Source organism: Homo sapiens, chromosome 11 (assembly GCF_000001405.40).
Source record: "Homo sapiens chromosome 11, GRCh38.p14 Primary Assembly".
Taxonomy (NCBI): Eukaryota; Metazoa; Chordata; class Mammalia; order Primates; family Hominidae; genus Homo; species Homo sapiens.
The window spans coordinates 104,279,165-104,304,032 of NC_000011.10; the positions used below are offsets into that span (position 1 = coordinate 104,279,165).

At 35.8% G+C, this 24,868-nt stretch overlaps 1 long non-coding RNA gene across 2 annotated transcripts in view; it reads left to right on the top strand.

Moving 5' to 3' along the window:
* Window positions 1-846: 846 nt before the first annotated feature.
* The window catches only part of LOC102723879 (uncharacterized), a 78,954-nt gene continuing 54,932 nt past the window's right edge, over window positions 847-24,868 (top strand). For both annotated transcript variants that reach the window (XR_428991.3, XR_001748077.2), the window contains exon 1: window positions 847-972. This is a non-coding gene — a long non-coding RNA (uncharacterized LOC102723879). The remainder of the gene's footprint in view (window positions 973-24,868) is intronic.

Genomic DNA, 24,868 nt, shown 5'->3' on the forward strand with positions numbered 1-24,868 from the left:
TGGTTGTGTCCACACCCAAATCTCACCTAGAATTCTAACTCCCACAATTCCCACCTGTCATGAGAGGAATCCAGTGAAAGGTGATTGAATTATGGCGGTGGGTCTTTCCTCCGCTGTTCTCATGACAGTGAATGAGTATTGAGATCTGATGGTTTTAAAAACTGGAGTTTCCCTGACCAAACTCTCTCTCTCTTTGCCTGCCACCAGTCATGTAAGACGTGACTTGCTCCTCCTTGTCTTCCGCCATGATCGTGAGGCCTCCCCAGCCATGTGGAACTTTAAGTCCATTATACCTCTTTTTCTTCCCAGTCTCGAATATGTCTTTATCAGCAGTGTGAAAACAGACTAATTTTATATATATATATATATATATATATATATATATATATATATATATATATATATCTTGATCATTGTGTATATATATATTTATATGTTGTACATATATATTTACATATATATTCATATATGTTGTGCAATAATCAAGTCATGGTAGTTAGCTATCCTCACCTCATGTCTTTATCTTTTTATTTTTGGTGGAAAGAACATTCAAAAGCCTCTCATTTATCTATCTTGTAATGTGCAATATCTTGTTGTTAACTATCTGTCATCCTATTGTGCAATAGGATTCCAGAACTTATTCTTCCTGTTTGATTGTAACTTTGTACCCATTGACCAACCCTTCCCCATCCTCTCCTCTCTCCTCCCTTCCTAGTCTGTGGTAACCACTCTTCTACTCTCTGCTTCTATGATACCCAAACTTTTTAAAATTAAGATTCCACATATAAGTAAGATCATGTGGTATTCTCTTTTTTTTTTCTTTTTTCTTTTGCAGACTGTTGTGGCTGTTCTAGGCAGTTTGTTTTTCCATATTGAAACAAAGAAACTTGCTGAGATTTTTATTGTAATTACTTTGTCTGCATATTGATTTGGAATTAACTTTGGAATAATATTGGATATTACAAGCCATGGGTAAGGTATATTTCTCTATTGGTGTATTGGTATTTCTCTATTTCTTTATTTGTTCAGTCTAGATTTTGTTTGATTTCATTTGTGTAGATTTCATTGATTTTCTCAATTGTTTACCAATTTTCTAGTTAATTAATTGCCACTATTATCTCTATTATCTCCTTTATTCTACCTACTGTTTTATAAAATTTGTTCTTTTTATAGCTTCTTAAAGCAGAAGCTTAGATGATTTATATTAAACCTTTTATATAATTCCTTTTTTTCTAAAATAAGAATTCTACTAAATAGTTTACTAGGCCTACCCTAACAAAATTTCACAAGCAGGTATGTTAAACAACAGAAACTTATTGTGTCACAATTGGTTCTGGAGGCTAGAAGTTTGAGGTCTGGCAGGGTTAGTTTTTTTCTGAGGGCTTTGAGTTAAAGTCTATTCTGTCTCCCTCCTAGCTTCTAGTAGTTTGCTGGGAATCTACGGCATTATTTACTTCATAGCGGTATCACCCTAATGTCTCTTCATGTTCACATGGCATTCTTCCTATGAATGTGCCTGTGTCCAAATTTCCACTTTTTATTATAAGAATACCAGTTATAATAAACAAGAACCCAATCTGTTCCAGTCTATTAACTGGTTACATCTATTAACTGATTACATCTGCAGGGCCCTATTTTCAAATAAGGTCGCACCCTGAGTACTGAGGTTTAGTATGTCAACATGTGAATCTGTTGGGGAAGCAACTCAACTCATAACAAGCATAATGCTACAACTTCTCTTCTAAGCACTGCTATTGCTGCAAATGATTTGGATATGTTGTATACTCATTATTATTCAATTTAAAATATTGTTCTAATTTCCATGGTGATCTTTAAATAAACCCATGGATTTTCAAAGGCTTGAGTTTAATTCTTTAAAGTCACGTTTAAATAAATTTTTAAAGGCTTCAGTTTAAGGAATTCTTTAAACTTGACTTTAAAGAATTAAACTTAAGCCTTCAAAATTCCATGGGTTAATTTAAAAATCACGATGGAAATTAGAACAATATTTTAAATTGGATAATAATATTTATTATTTAAAGTTATATATATTACTCTTATTTCTAATTTATTTATATTATAGAACACATTATTTTTGGTTTATTTTTAATGGCTTTATTGAAGTCCAGTTAACATATGATACAATGCAGATAATAGAAATGTTGAATTTGGTTAAGTTTTAAATATGTGCACAGCTGTAAGTCTTCACTAAAATAAAAACAATGAAAATATGCATCGATTTCAAAGTTAATGTCTCCTGAATCACTAGGCAAATAGTGATATATTTTCTGTAATTTGAGATTACTTTGCATTTTTTAGAATTTCATATCAATGTTATTATACAGAATGCACTACTTTTTGTCTGGCTTCTCTTACTCATTATAGTTATTTTGAGATCATCCATATTGTAGCATGAACAATAGATTCCCTTTATTGCTGAATAGTATTCCAATGTATGGTTATACCGCAATTTATTTATCCATTCACCTGTGGATATATATTTGGGTTGTTTCCAGTATTTGGTTATGACAAATAAAGCTGTTATAAAAATATGTACACAAGTCTTTGAATGGGCATGTGCTTTTATTTTGAATAAAGATCTTGAAGTGGACTGGCTAGAACACATGGTACATGAAATCAATATGCTAGATATATATTTAAGATGATAAGAAAATGCCAAATGGTTTTCTGAAGTGGTTATACAACTTAATTTTCCAACTAGTATGTGCGAATTACTGATGTTCTACATCCTTGTTGACACTTGGTGTGAGGAGTCTTTTCCATTTTAGCCTCAGGATTATGGTTGTGTGGTGGTGTATTAGCTTATGGCTTGAATTTACATTTCCCAGATGATGGTGAGCATCTTTTCTTTTGCTTATTTGCAGCCTCTCTAGACTTTTTGGTGAAGTGCTTATTCACATCTTCTGCCCATTTTGTGAGGGAGGGAGTTTAGCCCCTGCATGAGTCAGCTGGTTTTTTTTTAAAGAACCTTACTTTTTAGAGCAATTTTAGATTCACAGCAAACGTACACAGTTCCCACATATCATCTGCCCTACACATGCACAGCCTCCTCCATTATCAACATCCTCCACCAGAGTGGTACGTTCTTACAATTGATGAGATTACAATTGACACATCATAATTACCAAAGTCCATAGTTGATATTAGGGTTCACTCTTGGAGTTGTACACTATATGGGATTGTACAAACTTATGCTATGTATCCACCATTATAGTATCATACAGAGTAGTTGCCCTACTACAAAAATCCTTTGTGCTCTGCCTATTCATCCTTCCCTTCCCCTAATTCTTAGCAAACACTAATTTTTTTAAAAAAGCTTTTTTAAATGTTTTAATTGAGAAATTTTAATTGTATACATTTATGAGATACAATGTGATTTTTTGATAAATGTATGCAATGTAGAATAATTAAGTCAAGTTAATTAACATATCTACCACCTTGCTTACATATCATTTTCTGATGAGACATTTTGAAATTTACTCTTTGCTATTTTGAAATATATAATACATTGTTATTGACTTTAGCCACCCTGCTATCAATAGATCTCAAAACTTACTTACTCTGTAAATCTGAAACTTTGTACCCTTTGACCAACACCTCCTTATTCCCTCCATTACCCCTGCCATCCTCTGGTAACCATTATTCTGCTCTCTACATCTACTGGTTCAACTTTGTTAGATTCTAAATTTAAGTGAAATCATGAGGTATTTGTCTTTCTGTGCTTGGCTTATTTCATTTACCATACTGTCCAGCAGGTTCATCCATGTTGTTTCAAAGGACAATATTTCATTCTTTCTCCAAGATTGAAAAGATTTCCATTGTGTGTGTATATATACCACATTTTAAAATCATTTCATCTGTTATAAACATTTAGGTTGATTCCACATCTTGGCTCTTGTGAATAATGCTACAATGAACATGGGAGTAAACATAGCCCTTTGACATTATGATTTCAATTCCTTTGGACATACACCCAGAAGTGGAATTCCTGGATGACATGCTAGTTCTCCTTTTAGTTTTTTGAAGAACCTTCATATCGTTTTTCACAATGGCTATAGTACTCATGTTAATTAAATACATGAAGTTAGGCAGTGTCATCCTCCATGTTTATTCTTCTGCTTGAATATTGTGCTGACTATTCTCAATCTTTTGTCTCTCCGTAAAGTTTAGAATTAGTTTGTCAAAACCCACAAATTATAATAACTTGCTGAAATTTTGATTGGGATTTCATTGAAAATATAGATAATGTTGATAAGAACTGATATCTTGACAGTATTGAGCTTTCCTTCCCATGAACATGGGATAGCTTTATGTTAATGTAGTTATTTGATTTCTTTCATCATCAGTGTTTCTTCCTTCTCAATATGTATACCTTTTATTCTGCTTTCTTGTCCTTTTGTATTAGATATGCCTTCTAGAACAATTTTGAAGAGCATTAGTAAGAGGAGACATTTTCCGTATTCTTAATTTTAGTGGGAAAGTGAAATTTCTCATCATTATGTATAATTTTTACTGCAGGTTTTTGTAGCTATTCTTTATCAAGTTGAGGTTTTTATTCCTAGTTTTATTCCTAGTTTATCTTGAGTTCTATTTTTTTTTAAATCATGAGTGGGTGTTGTATGGTCTCAAATGCTTTGACATGATCGTGCAGTTTTTCTTCTGTGAGCTGTTGATGTGATGGATTACATAATTGACTTTCTGGTGTTGAACTAGCCTTGTATAACTGGGATAATTCCCATTTGGTCATCATGTATAATTCTTTGCAAAGATTGTTTGATTTCATTTGCTAATATTTTGTTGAAGGGTTTTGCATCTATGTTTATGAGAGGTATTAGTTTGCAGTTTCATTTTCTTGTAATATCTTTGCTTAGGTTTGAGTAATGCTGGCTGCATATGATGAGGAAGTATTTCTCATAGGACTAAGAATTATCCCCTTTGCTTCAAATCTCTGAGATTGTAGAGAATTAGCACATTTTTTTCCTTAAATATTTGGTAGTATTCAACAGTGAACCCATCTGGGGTTGGTGCTTTCTGTTTCAAAAGGTTATACTATAGACTCTACTTAATATATATAGGGCTATTTGGATTGTCTGTTTCTTCTTGTGAGAGTTTTGGCAGTTGGTGTCTTTCAAGGAATTGTTCTACTTTATCAAAATTATGAACTTTGTGAGCATAGGGTTGTCATTTTGCCTATTTGTATTGAATTATTTGAGTTTTATGTATTCTAGATACACATTGTATATCAGATACTTTTGAATATGTTCTATGTCTTGCTTATTAGCAGTGTCTTTGAAGAATAGCAGTTTCTAATTTTAATTAACCATAATTTATCTATTGTTTTTGTCTTACTGATAATGATTTTGCTGTTATAGTTAAGAAATCTTTGTTTAACCCAAGGTCACAAAGATTCCTCCTATATTTTATTCTAGAATTTTAATAATTTTAAGTTTTACATTTAGATCTAGGATCCATTTTAAATTACTTTTTCTATATGCTGTGAGAAATTAAAGTTAATATGTATATATCCAATTTTTTCTCACTTATTTTAAATACACTTATCTTCCTATATTGCAACAAATCTTTTAAAAGCTGCCTTACTTCTATTTTTGGATTTTTAAACAAGGATGTTAAGATCAGATAGGCAGATAATTTACTTGAAGACAAACTGAATCTTTCTGAGGCTATTTTTTTTACCTGTGATAGAATAGATCTACGGTCAGATTTGCCATAAGTCTAAATTAGACATTCTTCCAACGGTGCTTTTTGTGGTTTTTACTAAATGCTTGGATTGTTCAATAAAGCCTCTTCTGACTGTTTAGGACACAAACATCTGCCTGATCTGTGCAAACTTTTGTAGAATCTTATATTGTCTTTTGTGTTCTTTTTCAGGTAGTTGTTTTTTGCTTATTCTTAAGTCTTTCTTTTAGGATGTATATTTTAGTGTTTGACTAAAAACTCAAGGAGACATCCTGTGAAGATTCCCGCAACTCATTTTCTACACAGCTCTCTTCTCTCTGGTACTCTGCCCCATAAATTCTAGGCCCTCCAAGATCCGAAAACTCTCATTTCTGTTGTATGAGGTCAATGAGACCACTACATTATATTTAAACTATCCTTCCATAGATATTAGTGTGGAAAGTGGTTCCAGACAAAAAGCAGGAGCGATCATGGAACTTACTTTGATTTTCTTTTCCCCCCACTTCTTTCTAAGATTACCATTCTGCACTCTATGCTGTAAAACATCTGAAAATATTTACTTTATATACTTGGTCCGTTAGTATAATTGTTTATAGTCGGAGGAACAGTTACTTCATCATGGCTAATAGTAGAAGTGCAAAAGGAAGTTTTAAAGCAATCAAATTGTTCACAATTTATATCTTGAACCACTTTCCCTGACTTATCTTGCACTTCCAGCCCCTTTAATTTCTTATTTTTTTACCCTTCCTATTGCTTCTTTTAACCTACGTTATCAATTTTATAAAATTGACTTTTATTCCCCATTTCTTCTAAATCAAGATTCGCTCTTTGGCTATGTTGCCAACAGCTACCCTAAAGAAATACTTTGTTTGCTTGAGCAATTTCTGCAGATTCACATAGGTGACACCCTGTTCTGGTTTGAGCCTAGATAATAACAGTTGAACACAGTAATTTTAGAAAGAATTGTCTAGTTAGTTATTGTCTTTCAAAGATATTTGTCTTTGTAGCCTTTCTTTTTTAGTTAAAGCTTTGTCATGGTAAGATATAATAAGCAATACAATTTGGCAATAAACATAAGAACTAACTAATAATTAAACTCACTTATATGGTTTGTGAGGAAAGAGAAAAAAGAAGGAAGAGGTCAACTGGAATTAGTCCTAGGTTGGTCTTGGCAGTGATTGTTTGGATTTGAAAACTACAGAGTTGCTAGAACAATCAATGGTCTTTAAAATGTGTGGATGTACACGGAATTAATGTTAGATCAGTTTTTCTGTGTTACTATCTGGGAACATATGGGTTTAATTAGACTAGTATTAAAAGAGTTTGCACTTAGCCTATAATGACCATTGTGATGTAGTCTGGTATAGTTTATCTACTTTGAGAATCAGGGTACACTTTTTAAGCTTACTTCTCCATTCCCCACAGCCCAGATGCTGGCTTGGTCTGTTCCATTTTATCCACATGCAAGAATTACACAACTGTATTCTAGGTATTGCATAATGGAATTTAATTCCAAAGCTCAGAAAGAAATGAAGTATAACCAAATTCAAAATCTTAGGAAAATGTCTTCATGATTAATAATATTAATTTTCTGAAAGCAATTCAAAGGTTTATTTCCAGCACCAGACGTTTATTGAATGGATGAATGAATGCAATTTTAAAAAGGTTATGAGACAAGAGACAGGAATTGATAATGTGCATAATCTTTTTTCCTTGTAGATATAATTAACAGAAACATATTACATACCCCTGAAATCGACCATGCAAGAAACAATATAAAATTAAGACACCTCGGATTGCTGCTCATGTGAGTGGGTTGAAGGTGCATTGAAAATGACTTACCTCTTTGTTACAAATCTGATGGAGTAGTGGACAAAGCAGGAGATGCGGAGTTATGTAGTTCTTGGTCATTACTCTGGTAGTTCTATTATTAGTTGTGAGACTTTGGGGAAGTAATGATCTTTCATAGTCTCAGTTCCTTCATCTGAAAAATGGGAAAATTATTGTGAAAGAATAAATATTAAATGATTAACTGTACACCCTAGGAATATTGTAGCTACCTATAAAATATTCAGCTTCTCCTTCCCTTTCTAATAATTGAAATAATATATTAAAATAATATTCTTGTGAATAAAGATTATCTATTAGTTCCTCTGCTTAAATGCAGATATTGGTACAAAAAGCTAAACTCTCGAGAACAAATAGAAAAGAGAGAAAGAGGAAGCAAAGGAAGAAGAAGAAAGCTGTGTGGATAGGTAAAGCTTCATCCTACATTCTAGCCACATATCATGCCCAAATTTCAATCTATGTGGAAATACAAACTATTGGAGAGGTAAAGTAGGTTAGATTGTCCTTTTTGAGTGTGTGATATTCATTCAGTCAACTTATTCAACTATTATTTGCCAATCATCTACAAAGTACCAGGCACTGTACAAAAGATTAATGATACACAAAGAAATTGGAAATTAATCCTCTCTGTCCTCACAAAGGTTATAATCTGGCAAGACAGATGCATCTGATTCCTGAAGATGCAGGTTAAAAAGGAGAGGAGCGCTGGCCATGGAGACGTATAACCAGAACCCCCAACTTAATTGGAAGAGACATTGGGGAAACCTATGTGGAAGGGGTATTTGAGACCTAAGCATGAGTAGAATTTTCTAGGTCATAGGGTGGACTGAGAGGCAGCATTGGGATAGTGTGCTAAGAGGAGTAATCATCTCTGCAAAGCCAATGGGAAAGGAGGAAGGTTAGTTTACACAGGGACGGGAGCAAAGCTGGCATAAACAAGACTGAGTCTGCAAAGGAAGCTTAAGGTGAGGCTGGAGGAAGTTCAGGGCTAAATTATATAGAGTCTTATCTGTTAGGTTAAATATTTTGGACTTTAGGATCATTATGAAGCCACTGAAAGATCTGAATCAGAGGAAGGCAACTGATTTCTGTTATAAGACAATCTTTTTCACTATAGTGGGAGCAATGGGTTTAAAGAGGGAAAGAGTGCTTAAGCAGAAATGAAGTAGAAAACTGGTCGATTCTTGCAAGGTAAAGAGGAAAGGTGGTCTGCATTCAGGTGGAGGCAGTGGAGATTAATATACACGGATATGTTAGGGAGATAGTAAGAAGTTAGCATCAACCACATTTTACCCTGCAGGCTAACCCTGCTTCAAAAGCCTTCCAAACCTCCTCTGCCCACTTTCTTACCTAGAGAAGCTTTATGCATCCTTTAAATTTAAACTCAAGTTCTAACAATATTATTTATCTTCAACAGGAAACGTTAGTAGCTTACTATTAGAGCACCTGGCAAATGTATCCTTTAAGGTAGTGGTTTCCAGCCCTTGGCTACGCATTAAAATCTTCTGGGGAACTTTAAAACACTTCCAATGTTTGTCTTCCACCCCAGACAGACTCTGAGGAGTAGGAACAGAGCAAGAATATTATTTAGAAGCTCCATAGGTGGTTGTAACTTATTCAGGAATGGGAACCAGCACTAAAAGCATTTGCCATACTAGCATTTTTAGTTGTCCTCTCCACTATACTGTAAGCTCATTGTGGGCAGGACTGTTGACTCCTTTTACATCTTGAGGGCTTACAACCACAGTGATACATATTTATATGCTGCTATGAATTTAAATAAATAAAACATGCTAATTGATTACTTTTAGCTAGCTGGGGCTTTGCTGCCCGTGAAGAGGAGTGGGAATAACTCAGGAAGACTATGAGGAGTCGGCACTAATAACTTGCTTCACAAAGATAAAAACAGACATTTACAATTATATTAGAAATAATAGCGTAAGAAGAGTGTAACGGTTGCCAAAATGTAAATGTTGTTCATGGCAATATGTTCTGATTTGGGTTCTGCCAAAATGGTCAAAACTCAGCCCTTATTTTAGGAGTTCCTGCCCATGGGGACTATAGAAAAAGAAAAACTTTGTAAACAATGTTTATATTCCAATAAATGCACATTGTTCTAAAGTACACCAACTAATTGGCTACTTTGACCTTAAAGTCCAATCTATTCCCGGGCATAGAGGTAGTCCCTAGACTAATGGGAGTAGAAAATGTACAGACTAATTTCCTTTTCCTATTCCCACTTCATCTAGTTTTAGGGGACAAGCAGAGCTTGATTTCTCTGCAAACCTTGTTATATTACTGATTTTGGAGTGACATTGCAGCTTGCCTATTACCACAATTCATGGGAATGGTTTCTGCTGGCTTGTAATATAGCACCTGTTCAGTTTTTAAAGAAGCCATTTGATTCCATCATAAAGTGACCATCCAATTCAACATGAAGCAGAATCAGCTTAAATGAAGGCCAGGACAAGGCCTGGAGGGACCCTTTCGATCCTGACTATAAAACTCTAGCCCCATAGGGAAGTGTCTGAACATCTGCACAGATTGGTACTGAATTCAATCAGCATTGTCATTTTTGTTCTCATGTTAACACAATGTATGCTATCAGAAAAGGATATACCTATTATGGAAGAAATAAAAGGGCCAAATCAGGGACCTTAGCTATACCAGCCTTGCTGTCTGGGAGGGCAGATCTGGGCAGGGACTCGTAAAATGAGGGCTGAGTTTTGACCAAGGCAAAGCTATACTGTACCCAATGGAAGATGAAGCCTCTGGCCTAGGAGTTAGGGAGAACTAAAAGGTGAAGATGAAATGGGTTAGAGAGGGATGGGGGAAAATTATAGAGCTGGGACCAAATCCAAAGCACAGAATCTGAGACAGAGGACGGGCAAGGGGCTGAGAGGGGAGTCTGAAGGTAGAGTCTTGAGAGATATCCTAAGGTAAAGATCCTTAGGGTGTGGAAACCTCTAGCAGGTTCTTACCCCCGCAACTGCAAATGAGAATAGTATTTTCCATAGTTCTAAAATAATTTCACGAACCTTCCGGGTCTAAAATCTCAATTGTCTCACCCGCTTAACATTGCCTTTTGGAAACTTAGGTCCAAATTTGTCTGGCCTACCTCGGTGGGACTTCATGGCATGATATTTGGGCACTAATCTCACTCTTGGTTTCTATGGTAGTTATCTATCATCATGTAACAAATTACCACATTTAGTGGCTTAGACAGACACACATTTATTATTTCATAGTTTCTGTGGGTCATAAGTCTAGACATGGCTTACCTGTTTCTACTGCTCAGGGTCTCACTAGCTGTAACGAAGCTGGCAGCCAGGCTGCATTCTCATCTGGAGGCTTTCCTGAGGACGAATCCACTTCCAAGCTCATTCAGGTTGTCCACAGGATTTATTCCCCGTGGTTGTAGGACTGAGGTCCTCAACTTCTATAGGCCACCTGGAGTTCCTTTGGCACATGGTTCTCTTCGTAGACAGTTTACACAACATGGTTGTTTGCTATTTCAGCCAGTAGGAGAATCTTTGCTGCATCTGATCTTTCTCTTTTCTTCTAAGGAATCACCTGATTAGGTCAGGCTTGTCCAATATAATCTTCCCAAGTTAAATCAGCTGGTTAGGAGCTTTGATTATGCCAGAAAAAAGTCCCTTCAGAGCAGCGCCTTCAGCGTTAGTCTGCCACATATGGGAGAAGGTATGTACTCCAGGGGCTGACAATCTTGGAGCCACTGTGGAATTCTTCCTACTGTATTTCCATTTTACATTCTTAAAATTCTTAATTGACCTTTGCTTCATTTTCTTACTTAATTTTTTTTATTTTTTTTTTAGGGTAGATTCTAGTAATCTTAAAGTTTTGAAATTGTTGCCCTTAGCAAAGCTATATATAAATTTTGATAATGATTTATATTAATTAAAAATTTTAAAGATGTTTACTCCAAGTTTTGTAGCTTACTTCCTGTTCCCAGAGTATTTTAAGTTACCCTGACACATTAATCTTTTTTTTATTATACTTTAAGTTTTAGGGTACATGTGCACAACGTGCAGGTTTGTTACGTACTTATTTTAAATATATTTATCTTATTACCTTGCATGCATCTTTTAAAACTGCCTCAATTCTATTTAGGAACAGGAAAGATTATAAATGAACATATTGTAGTAATGTATTCTTTGTAGAAACATAAACTGAATTTCAAACTTGGGAAGATCTGAATCTATACAGATTCAAAAAGGTCAAAAGGAAAAATATGAAAACTTTGATGTCAAGGAGCTTAAAATTTCACAGATAGAAGAAATGTGTGCACAGTTACATGAAAATATGACAGCACAAAAAGAGATGTATATGCCGAGTTTTGGAGAGGATCCTTTCTTTTTGAAGGAATTACAAAAGCTTTCGTTTAAAAGGTGAAATTCAAGCTGGACCAGAATGGGTGGGTAGAATGTGTATATATGTAGGAAAAGATATGGGAGGAACACTGTCCTAGAACAAAGGAAACACCCCGGTAAATTCACATTGAAGAGAAAGTCTCCAAAGTGTAAGGCAAAAGTTTTATTTCAACTTGGGTCTCTAGCAGGCCTGTGTACAAGAAATGGAAAAAAGATAGATCCAGATTAGGATTGACATAAATTGGTAGTATAAGGAGTTCTCTTATTAACTTTTCAATAATTTGAGTCATGGAAAATTTCTGGAAATGGACAGGATAAGTGTAGGTGGTGGGTAGTATGTATACTGGAAGTGAGAGAGCCTGGAGACATGAAGGCTAACTAATGGGCATCAGCAGCAATCAATCACCAGGTGTTCTGGTTACTATTGTTGCATAACATATTATCCCAAAATGTAGTGACTCAAAACAAAAATCATTTTATTATCTTTCATAGTTTATGCGAATCGGGAATTTGGAAAGGCTTGCTTGGGTGGTTCTAGCTGGGATCTACTCGGATTGCTGCCAGGAGGTAGTGGGAGCTGAACTGTGGGGAGCAGGACCAGCTGGACCTCTCTCTCTCCCTCTCTCTCTCACTCCCTTTCTCCTTATGGCCTTAGGGATTCAGCACGTAGTCTATCTGTACAGGGTAGATTGGGCAACTTCATAGAATGACAGCTTCAGAGCAGTTGAATGTTTATATCATGGCTCAGGGCTCCAGAAAAAGGGTTTTAGTGAGTAAAATGGAATCTGTGTCAACCTTTCTAATCTAGCTTAAGATATTGTCTAGTGTAACTTTTGCTGCATTCTGTTGATTACAAGTGAATCCCAAACATTTCCTGATTCAAAGGGAGGGAAATTAGACTCTAGGAGTGTGACAAAATTATGAAAGAACATAGAGAATGAAAGATTACATCACTGCCATCTTCAGACAATGCAATCTGCTACAAGAGGGAAGTCTGCTTTGACGGTGAAATGTAAAATCCGTATCAAAGAATACATGCATATTTTACTAACAAAAAATAGAAAAGTCATGATAAGATCCATTTTTAAGGAGCTCAATATCTTCATGAACATCACATTTATGGTTGTTTGCTTGCTTACATTCCCAAGCCTTCCAGTACAATGAGGCATACACAGGTTTCTATGGCTAGGACTTGAAACAATATTAACTGAATACATTTAAATATGAATTAATATATTCTCTTAAAGATAGACTATCTAGATGCAAATATCTAGAAAAAGGTATAACAACAAGATTCTAAAATTTAGGAGAGACACCAGGATTAGAGATTTAGCTTTGGGAATCATTCTCACAGAGTGTCTTTGACCTTGCACAAGATGGCCAGTTCTCTTGTATGGGGAATGTTTAAATCAAGTTATCTGCATGAATGTGATTCAATTGATAGTCATTTTTTGTCTAGTCATTTTTTGTCTAGTTATGAGGATTATCTCTGCTCCAGTTAACTTATATATATATTTTTTCTATCAAAAGTCACAGTGATTCTCTAAGAGGCTATGTTAATGTCTAGTGAGAAGCCTAACTCAGGCTCAAGCCCAGCTCCTCTTCATTCAGTCACCCTTTGAGGACAAAGAGGTAGCCATTTCATTGCTGCTGCCATACAAAGTAGGTTTTGGAAAAGAGCAAGCTTTATCCCCTACCCTGGCCCTGATAGATATTGTCTATGTGACCTTGGCCTGGTTATTTAATCTTTATGAAGCTGTGTTCTCACCTGTAAAATTGAGAAAATAATACCTGGAAGAAATTATATGAGATTGTGAATATTAAATGTAGCACTGTACTTGGTACATAGAATTTAATCAATAAATAAGAGTGCAATTTTCTGGCACAGTCAGACTGTTAGGATGAAAGGGGAAAAACCACAAAATGGTTGATCTGAATATTTGGGCCATTGCAGCAGTGATATCTTGACAACTATGAGTTAATTCCTGAATTATGAAGCCTTGCCAAAAATACAAAGACATTTTCCAGATTTTACATTGAAATATTAGATTTCATGCCTGTGAGTAGCTACTACCCAAGTAAAATATTAAGTGACTTTAAGAAAATGGGGTGAGCATTTTGCTTTACTGAAGTTAATGCAGATCTGTAAAATAATTGATATAATCATTGATTATATAATTATTTTGATCCCTCAAAATTAAGGTAGAAATTTTTTAAGGGCTTTCTTTGGGTTTTAGCTCATCTTTAGTTCCTCATGATAAAGATTATATGTACAGACTATTACATCATGTTCTCTTGTAATCTGATGCTGAGAGGGACTTAGGAAGCTTTTTGCATCCACTTAAAAATAAAATGCTACTGTTTTCTTGCTATGTCTTGAGTCCCTTGATTAATATGAAGTGCTTTCACTGGTATAAATTCATTTCCCAGGCAGCTTTCATAAAACATCAATTTGTAGAAGATTCACATTAAAAAAAAACAGTTAAATAGTGCATTCTGCTCCTAAGCAAACTCAGAATATTAATTTGAAGTCGTAGGCCTTAGTTTACTCATTTCAAAAAGTTCTTGAAGTATTTGATCTTTAAGAAGTTATGCTTTCTATTGTTCTAAGACTCTAATTTACTAGGAAACAAAGTTATAAGCAATAACATTTTCTTCCACTAAATAGACGCATAAATAAATTGAGGAGTGACATATTGCCTTCTAATTATGCCTGAATAATGCCTCAAATAGTATTACCCTGAGGCATATTTCTTCTGGTTTGCTTGGCCGGGCACTGCTTTATTCTTTTTCTGTTTCTCCTGTTCCTACATTTCCCAGCTCCTTGAAGCTAGATTCACTGCAAGTTTCATTGATCACTCAGACCAAGCTTATTTACAGCCAGATCTAGAAGCAACCTGCTCCCATCCTACCTTTGTCTTATTGAGGCATGGAATGAAATATTTAGCATGAAAAATAAATACAAAATTACAAGCTTACAAAGCTGATAAAAGCCACAAACCACACAATTCAAGTCTAATGAAATTATTGTTATACTAGTTAACTACCTGACAGGAAATTTTGACAACAAATTTTTTTTGTACATTATTTGGCTCTATATTTTTTGAATAACTATTCACAATAATATTGTGATACCATTTCTGTAGATAATAGAGAATTCAGTCTTTCCATAATTGAGTGAAATCTGTGTTTATTATTAATCATTTGGAAACATTTATTTCTTCATGGCTTATTAGTAATATACATATTTAGGATTATTGTCAAGTTTTAAAAACATTTATTCAGATATAGTCTCTGGCCATTTATCTTTGTGTCAGAATTTCAAATACACTGGCCTGCAATGATAAGAATATTTCAAGAAGCCAAACCTACATCCGGCTATGAACCACTTCAGGGTAGAGACTGAAAACTGCATACTCCTCTCACTAAATCCTAATTAAATGTATACCTAACTTAACTTCCTTTTGGCAGGGTTACAAAATTACTCACAGTTACTCCAAAGCCATTGGATATGAGTGACTTATAAAGAGGAAGGGGCATTACAAAGAGATAGTGGTCCCATCTGCAGAAACATCTTACTCTGGCAAATTTCACTAAACAACATGACAATGTGAACACCTTGCTTGGGCTCTCCAAGGGCATTGAAAGAAAAATCATGAAAGTGAGGGTTCCTGAAGCAAAAGCTCAGTTAGTGTCATGGTAAAATTACCTCTGTTCCACCTTTTAGCTTTGACCAGGTAACTACTGATCCCTAAAAAAGTCCCCTGCTAGGACAGGAACTATTCCCAGAGGCTCAGAACAGAGCCTGGGGCCTGGGTACTGATTTTGTTTTTGTCATTCCTACTGCTTAGCCTAATTAGTCCCATATCTCAGCCAGCTGCTTTGGGGTCTCACCTCATAAACACAGATTCCCAAAACTGCACAATGAAATAACAGTCAAATTGACACATAGCAGCAGCTCCCTAGATGTCTACTTTCCTCCTTCTTGTTACGTTGTGCTTAATTTGTAAATCCTACTTGTGTCTGTATAATCATTTGGTTTGCTATATGGAGGCTATGCCAGCTTCCCAGGTGGGTTCTGGTCCCATGTTGTCAACACACTTTAAGTTGGAAACTAATAGTTGGAAAACTTCTGGATTAAAATTAATTTTAGTATTTCCAAAGCTAAATGACTTGTAATTCTCTCCACACATGATCAAAGGACATAATATTAGAAGTATATATATTAGGTTGGTGCAAAAGTAATTGTGGTTTTGCAATTATTTTTGGACCGACTTAATATCTACATTAGTCAGTAGGCAATCACACAGGAGACTGTAGCCAGCATCCTACTTCCTGTAACGATGCTCCTGGCAGACAGCATTAATCAACCATAGCTCTTCTCCCAAGTGATCCTAAATGCAGGTTTAAAAGTGTGGCTTTCTTCAATTATATGCTTACTAATACCTTGAGGATAATAGTTTATATTCTAGGGAAGTTCGGAACAGTTTAAATTTTATCTTAATAATTTGATTTTATAGTATGCATCTTCATCAGTATTATATAAATACTGTTCAGTATTATATAAATACGTGTTCAATGAGGAAACTGATGTTTTCAGAAGCTACAATAGTAAAAGACATATATGTACTCGTTCTCTATAAACAGCATTTCTTATCTGACATATAAACCAGGATTCTAAGCCAGGTCTTACTCCAGACTCAGGATATATCTGAGGCATTTCTTCTCTCAGTGCACATCTTCTTCCCTTCTCCTCTTCCCAGATTGCTTTGGAAAAATCACTCAATATCTCTATCTTTCCACATCTGTCTGTCTGTCCTATCTATCTATCTATCTATCTATCTATCTATCTATCTATCTATGTATTTATGTATGTAGCTATCTATGTATCTATCTGTCCTTACCTAATCAATCTATCTATCTATCTATCTATCTATCTATCTATCTATCTATCTATCTATCTAGGTACCTATCTATCTATTGATTCTCATTATCATTATTTGTGGTAGTTATATCCTATAAACTCACTGCAAACATTGAATTAGTGAATACTAAACTATTGATCCTAGGGGAAATACAACATTAGGGTCCTGCAAGCCTCTAGTCATAACATGTTCATCAAATAATAAATATATAATTTTATGTGTGTTTATGTTTAAAGGTACTTTACCGTGTGTGTGTGTGTATATATATATATACATATACATATATTATTGATGTATTAATATTGAACTCATGGCCAACAGTGCTAGAACTCATTCCTGAATGAAGTTTATCTCACACATGTATTTTATTTTATTTTATTTATCTTTTCTTGAGACAGAGTCTTGCTCTGTCGCCCAGGCGGGAGTGTAGTGGCAGGCGCAGCTCACTGCAACTTCTGCCTCTTGGATTCAAGCAATTCTGCTGCCTCAGCCTCCCAAGTAGCTGGGCAACAGACATGTGCCATCACTCCCGGCTAATTTTTTTGTGTTTTTAGTAGAGACAGAGTTTCACCATGTTGGCCAGGCTGGTCTCGAACTCCTGACCCCAGGTGATCTGCCTGCCTTGGCTTCCCAAAGTGCTGGGATTACAGGTGTGAGCCACTGAGCCTGGCCTCACATATGTTTTGTTGTTGTTGTTGTTGTTGAGACAGAGTCTCGCTCTGTCACCCAGGCTGGAGTGCACTGGTGCAATCTTGACTCACTGCAACCTTTACCTCCTGGGTTCAAGTGATTCTCATGCCTAGCCTACCAAGTAGCTGAGATTACAGGCACCCGCCATCATGCCCGGCTAATTTTTGTGTTTTTAGTAGAGATTGGGTTTCATCATGTTGGCCAGGCTGGTCTTGAGCTCCTGACCTCAGGTGATCCACCCACCTCAGCCTCCTAAGGTACTGGGATTACAGGCATGAGCTACCTTTCCTGGCCATAAGTATTTCTTAGTTCAGAACAGTTTCCACAAATTTCTCTCTTTTCTAAATTTCTAAAATGTTACTGTCTTATTCATCTAGTTATTAACATACTTGATTAGTAATTTCTCCTTTCATGTTCATTTTTCTCAGCTTAATCATCGCCATCCCCATCATCTGCACCATCATTGCCATTAACATATACTAAGACTTTTCTGTGTTTTACATGCATTACACCACTGAATTTTTACAACACTGTTTTTTGAAGTAGGTTGAAGTGATATTTAAAATATTTAACAACTTATCCATCATGAACATTGACCTTGATGAATAGATGCTGGCAATAAACAACCGTTATAATGATAATGATGGGCACTAGTGGAATATCTGCCAGAAGGTCATTACAATTATCATTTTAATTTTGTAGATCTGTTCCTGGAAAAAAAATCCAGAGTGATTAGTCTGAATCTGACAGAAGAATGTGAAAATAGACACATAAATGAGTAAAGCGCAGTTCTCACTCTCATGGAGAATATACACTAGTTGAGAGGACGTAAATAAAAACTAGGTCCCTTATTTTTTCTTATTTCCGGAACTTGGTATAATGATGTCTGAATATTAAATAATGAGAAATCTTTTTGATTATAGTAATGATAATGACAGCATTGTTAGGCATTAGGCAGGTCAAAAAGCAGCCAGTTTCCATCTTAATAAGTGTTTTAAAAATGCACGTCTGACCCTGATACCTGCTGTACATCTATAAAAATAAAAAAAGAGAGAACAGTAAAGAGAAAGATCCGATGAATGGTGCAATTTGTTTTTTGTTTAGGTGGCTCCAATCTCTGATAAAGTAGCAAAAAGTGGAAATTGTATTAGAAAGAGCATGAAACCTTATTTTTCCAAATGGATTCTATTTACCATCCACATTATTAGATAGAACTACCTGCTGGGAAATAGTATTACTTCTTCAGCCTCCATTCACATTTGTTAAAATAATGATGCCATCTCAAATATTTATGTAAACCTGCTAGCTCGTTTTTGAAATATTGACATAAATATTCATTAAATATTATTAGTAGGGATCTTTATTCTGATCCAAACAGAAGTGCTTGAAGTATTAATTAGGTGTTCAAAACCTAGTTAAACTAAATTAAAAATCCATTCCAAATTAAAACCTAGAGGTACTAAAAATATTGTGGAAGCAAACATGGTTGTGGAAATAGGACAGTGAGCTGCTTTCCAGGGCAGGGGCTTCAATGGAACAGATACATTGTAGGGGGCGCATCTTCATTTATTTCTACGTTGAATCGAGCTTCTTCCATCACAGAAACCTTATTATGCTAGGCTTGATGCTAGGCACTTCTAATCCTATATCTCATGTTCTATTTGTTTCCCTGCTCCTCCCTGAAATGTCCACTGTTCAGGACGGTGGTGACTGCAGATCTGGTATGTTAGTCTCAACTTATGAATGTGGTTGTAACATCACAGAGCATGCTATATTTTAGAAAGATTTTCTGCTCTTCTTCCTATTTGGAGAAGAAAGGGTCTATCTCAGCCCTGAGTGGCAGAGATCCTAGTATTTGGAATGAGAAGATATTAATTCAAGTCCGGACTTTGCAATTTATTAGCTCTCGAACAAAGTATTCATTTGAACTTTAGTTTATTTAACTGCTAAGTTGAGAAAGCAGTCCAATTTGTTTAGTGACATTTCAGAGGCGTTATGATGATGGAATGACATGTAATGTAATGCATGAAAGGTGGATAAATTTATATCATTATGTAAATTGCATTATTATGTTGTTAAGTACAATGATTACATGTTATTCAATCACCTATAAACTCATTTAATTTTTATATATCTCTGAAGTAGGCATTATCACTCTTGTTCTGGAGATAATGGAAAGTGAAACTCAGATGAATCAATACAATTGTTCAAAGGTAGCAATAGAGCTATGGCTTGATATCAGATTTTTTAAATTATACTTTAAATTCTGGGGTACATGTGCAGAACGTGCAGGTTTGTTACATAGGTATACACATGCGATGGTGGTTTGCTGCACCTATCAACCCGTCATCTACATTAGGTATTTCTCCTAATGCCATCCCTCCCCTAGTCCCCCACCCACTGACAGACTCCGGTGTGTGATGTTCCCCTCCTTGTGTCCAGGTGTTCTCATTGTTCAACTCCCACTTATGAGTGAGAACATGCAGTGTTTGGTTTTCTGTTCCTGTGTTCCTTTGCTGAGACTGATGGATTCCAGCTTCATCCATGTCCCTGCAAAGGGCATGAACTCATCCTTTTTTATGGCTGCTTAGCATTCCGTAGTGTATATGTGCCACATTTTCTTAATCCAGTCTATCATTGATGGGCATTTGGGTTGGTTCCAAGATTTTGCTATTGTGAACGGTGCTGCAATAAACATACGTGTACATGTGACTTTATAGTAGAATGATTTATAATCTTTTGGGCATGTACCTAGTAAAGGGATTGCTGGGTCAAATGGTATTTCTGGTTCTAGATCCTTGAGGAATCACCACACTGCCTTCCACAGTGAACGAATTTTTAATACCCAAATCAGTTCCACTGCACTACAGATGTGTGCTAGGCAAGGCACACTTGACCAAGGCATTTATAATCAAGTTAAGGGGCAGAAAGGCTGGTAGGTGGCGGGAGGCAGAGGCTATGCCAGTGAGACTTAAAGCCTTAGCATCAGCTTTGCTTTAATGTAAGTTAATTTATAAAAATCATACAATATGAAAAAATGTCATCTAAAGTTTGATAATATATTTGGTCTCAGAAGACTTTAGAAGAGGATACATGAGGGTATTTAAGAGGCTACTTTTCTGTTTTTCCTTTTTTCCCTTTCCTCCCTTCTTTTTATTGATGCATAATAGATATCCAGAGTTTTGGGACACATGCCATAATTTAATATATTCATATGATTTGTAAAGATCAGATCAGTGTACTTGGGAGCCTGTATAACCATCGCTGCTATGTTATACTCCTTTGTACATATCACACCACCATGGGGCTATGGCACTCAAATTTATTTCACTGTTGTGTACTAGTCCATCTATTCTCCTCTGAGGAAGGAAGATTCTTTCCTCCAAGTAGATCCTAGGTATTTTTTCCCAGATCTGAATACGGATGGTGAGTACAACATGAAAGGGTAGTTGTATTAGTCTTCTATTGTTGCTCTAACAAATTATCACATTCTTAGTGGCTTATAGCAATGCAGACTTATTTACTTTTTTAAAATTTAATTACAGTTCTGAAGGTTAGAAGTTTAAAATTATTCTCACTAGTCTAAAGATGTGGTGTTAGCAGGGCTGATTCCCCTTGGAGGTCCTAGGAAAGAATCCATTGCCTTGTCATTTCCACCTTCTAGAGACCAGCGACATCCCTTGGCTCACAGTCCCTTCCTTCATCTTCAAAGCCAGCAACATAGCAGCTTCACATCTCTTTCCTTCTTTCCCATTACTTCGACTTTCATTTTGCCTTCCCTGCCTTTGACTTTGTCTCCTTTTTATAAAAATCCCTTGTGATTATATCATTAGGCCAACGTAGAAAATCCAGACTAACCTCCCTTCCCCATCTCAAAATACTTAATCACAGCTACAAAGTTTCTTTTGCCATATAAGGTATCATTTTTGTAGGTCCTGATCATTAGGATTTAATATTTTTGGGGGACCTGGCATTATTCATCCCACTATAATACAGTCATGTGTTGCATAAAGACATTTCATTGCTGACAAACTGCATATTTGACAGTAGTCCCATACGAGCATATTACTATAGTTTACCTTTTCTATGTTAGATACATGAATACTTACCATTATGTTACAATTACCTACAGTATTCAGTACAGTAACATGCTGTCTATGTTGGTTGCCTAGGAGCAATAGGTTATACCATGTAGCCTAGGTATGTAGTAGGCAACACCATCTAGGTTTGTGTAAGTACACTTTATGATGTTAACACAATGATTTAATTATCTAATAATGCATTTACCAGAATGTAGCCCCATCATTAAGTGACACATGACTGTAGTTGATATTTTTATTTTGAAATTATTTTCTATTTGTTAGTAGAATTTATGTTCCAACCAGATAACAATGTAAAATATCATGAGTTAATTATATTCCTTTTATTACTACCAGTGAAAAGAAGACACAGGGTTAGGTCTTTTTAAAGGTAAAAGGCAAGCCTCTGTTCTGTGGGTTCACAGTTTGAAAAAAATCTATTTTTGCTATTTGAGATACCATGTAGACAGTGATGGGTTCAATATAGTCATAACAGTCATGATGAGTTGTGTTCTATTAATGAGTTTTGAGCTTATTAAATTTATCTTTTCTAAATATGCTATGAAATTAGAGTTTTCATTTTTCACCATAGACTCCAAGTATCATGGATGATATAAAATTAACCACTCTAATGAATAAACAGCATGTTTTTTTAACAAAATTATGATCAAAATACACTAGACTTTTTAAGCCTCCCTCAGAAGAGTGAAGGATTAAAGACAAGTTCAGAATTGTTAATCTATTTGTGTTTTAATAAGAGAAAGAGACAATAGAACTTAACATAATAGTGATAATCACTTTATAACTGTGCAATGCTTTATATTTTTAAATAATTAATTGTCCTTTATTTTATTTAATCCTCAGGTATAGCACATATTTTCAATTATGGTAAGGTTGTTTTGAGTAAGAAAAAAATAAGCATAATCTAATTTTCAAGGTGCGTTGGGAACACATTTTTCCACTAGAATTTGTAATACTACAGGGTAATATTTTTAAGCCTTAATTTTCTAGCTTGTCCTTTTATTTCTGACAGTGAAAAACTTAATGTATCTTCTAAAATAGCAGCACTCATTCTTCCCTTCCCTCTGGACTTTGGGTGGAGAGAATGACAGTGCAGGAATTCACATGGAATTCTGCTGACCTAGAGAAAAGGTGCTCCTTTATCAAAAAAAGACATTCCTTTCCTGGAATTTTTCTAACTCACAGTCTGAGATGCCCACATTTCCTAACTCATGTCATTTCCCCTTAGGTCTTCAACCGTGATTTCTGTGTGCAGTTATCCTTCATGAACATTGGGCTGTTTTATCTATATTACTCCTTTCCTAAATTTATCATCTTCAACTGCAAACAAGCTCTTACCATTGGCAAAAAAATTGCTTATGTTGGGAGGCTGAGGCAAGCAGATCACCTGAGATCAGGAGTTCGGGACCATACTGGGTAACATGGTGAAACCCCGTCTCTACTAAAAATACAAAAATTAGCCAGGCATGGTGGCAAGTGCCCGTAATCCCAGCTACTCGGGAGGCTGAGGCAGGAGAATCACTTAAACCTGGGAGGGGGAGGCTGCAGTGAGCCGAGATCACATCATTGCACTCCAGCCTGGGCGACAAGAGTGAGACTGCATCTTAAAAAAAAAAAAAAAAAAAAATTGTTGATGTTGCTCTAGTCATCACCCTTCACATTTTACAGCAACGGCAAAATCTCTAGAACTTTCTTCCAAACACTGACCATTTGTCAGCATACATTTTCCTTAAAAAATGGGAGCCATCAGTTGCAAATCTTCCACAGTGAACCCAGGCACAACTGCTTCTTACTATCCATCTTTAGTCCTTCTACTTATAAACCATGCTTCCTTATTTTATTTTATTTTATTTATTTATTTATTTAGTTAGTTAGTTAGTTAGTTAGACAGAGTCTCACTCTGTCTCCCAGCTGGAGTATAGTGGCTTGATCTCAGCTCACTGCAACCTCTGCCTCCCAGGTTCAAGTGATTTTCCTGCCTCAGCATGCCAAGTAGCTGGGATTACAGGCGCCCGCCACCATGTCCGGCTAATTTTTGTATTTTTATTAGAGACAGGGTTTCACCATGTTGGCCAGGCTGGTCTCGACTCCTGACCTCAGGTAATCTGCCCACCTAGGCCTCCGAAAGTGCTGGGATTACAGGCGTGAGCCACCGCGCCCAGCCCCATGCTTCCTTATTTCTAGGCAATATTGTACTATTGATACTTTGTCTTTTTTCAGTGTGGTCATCATATTCACATTACTTCCTTGTTCCTTATTATTTGGGTAAGTCAAGCCTCAACCATCTTAAAAACTAACAAAATAAAACATAACCAGAATGGAGAATAATAACAGGTACTCAGAAGTCAGAAAATCTAAGTTTATATCCAGGTTCCACAACTGGGCAATTGATCTGACCTTGACAATTTGCTGAGCCTATTTGTGCCTCTGTTTCCTCTTCTGTAAAATCAAATAATTATAGTATACTTTATAAGGAGTTTGAAAAAGATTAAATGGAATAACATATATAATGGGCATGTAATAGTGCCTGGCATGTAGGTAACACTCAGCAAGTTAGTTGTAGTTATTATTCTTATTATCCAGCACATAGTAAACTGTCGGTAAACGTTTGTCATGCTGTTGTCATCCTCCCGTGACCCAAATGGCCTCACACAGTCATAGTCATTTGGAAGTTAAAGTCTATCCATCCTCCCCTTTAATGGCTTCACATTGTCCATGAGATAAAGTTTCTGCTTGATCTGACACCTCACTACATTTCAACCTCATCCCATACCACTCTATGCACTTGGTCTCTATGCTCTGGTGATACTGAAGCTCATTTCAGCAGCTCATTTTAATATTTCTCAGGCATTTGAACAACAGTGGAGTAAGCACTCATTGCATGCAAGCTATTACTTGCAGTTTACTATTATTATTATCAGCAGGCTTAGCCACCTCACTCAGGTTCTCCCCATCAAACCCTTCTGTCTCTCAGAATGTGCAGGGTTAACTTTAAGATGATTTTAACATCTGATAGGCTCTCCTGCTGAAAAAGTCCTTTTATTTTATCTTTAAAAAATTAAAAGGGAAGCAATAAATGATGGTTCTTCAAGAAAATACATGTTCTCTTGCATATTTCTGGCTTTTCTTATTGCTCCTATGCCTGGAACACCCTTCTCTCCCTCATTTGCCTGATATATTGAATTATTAGGACTTG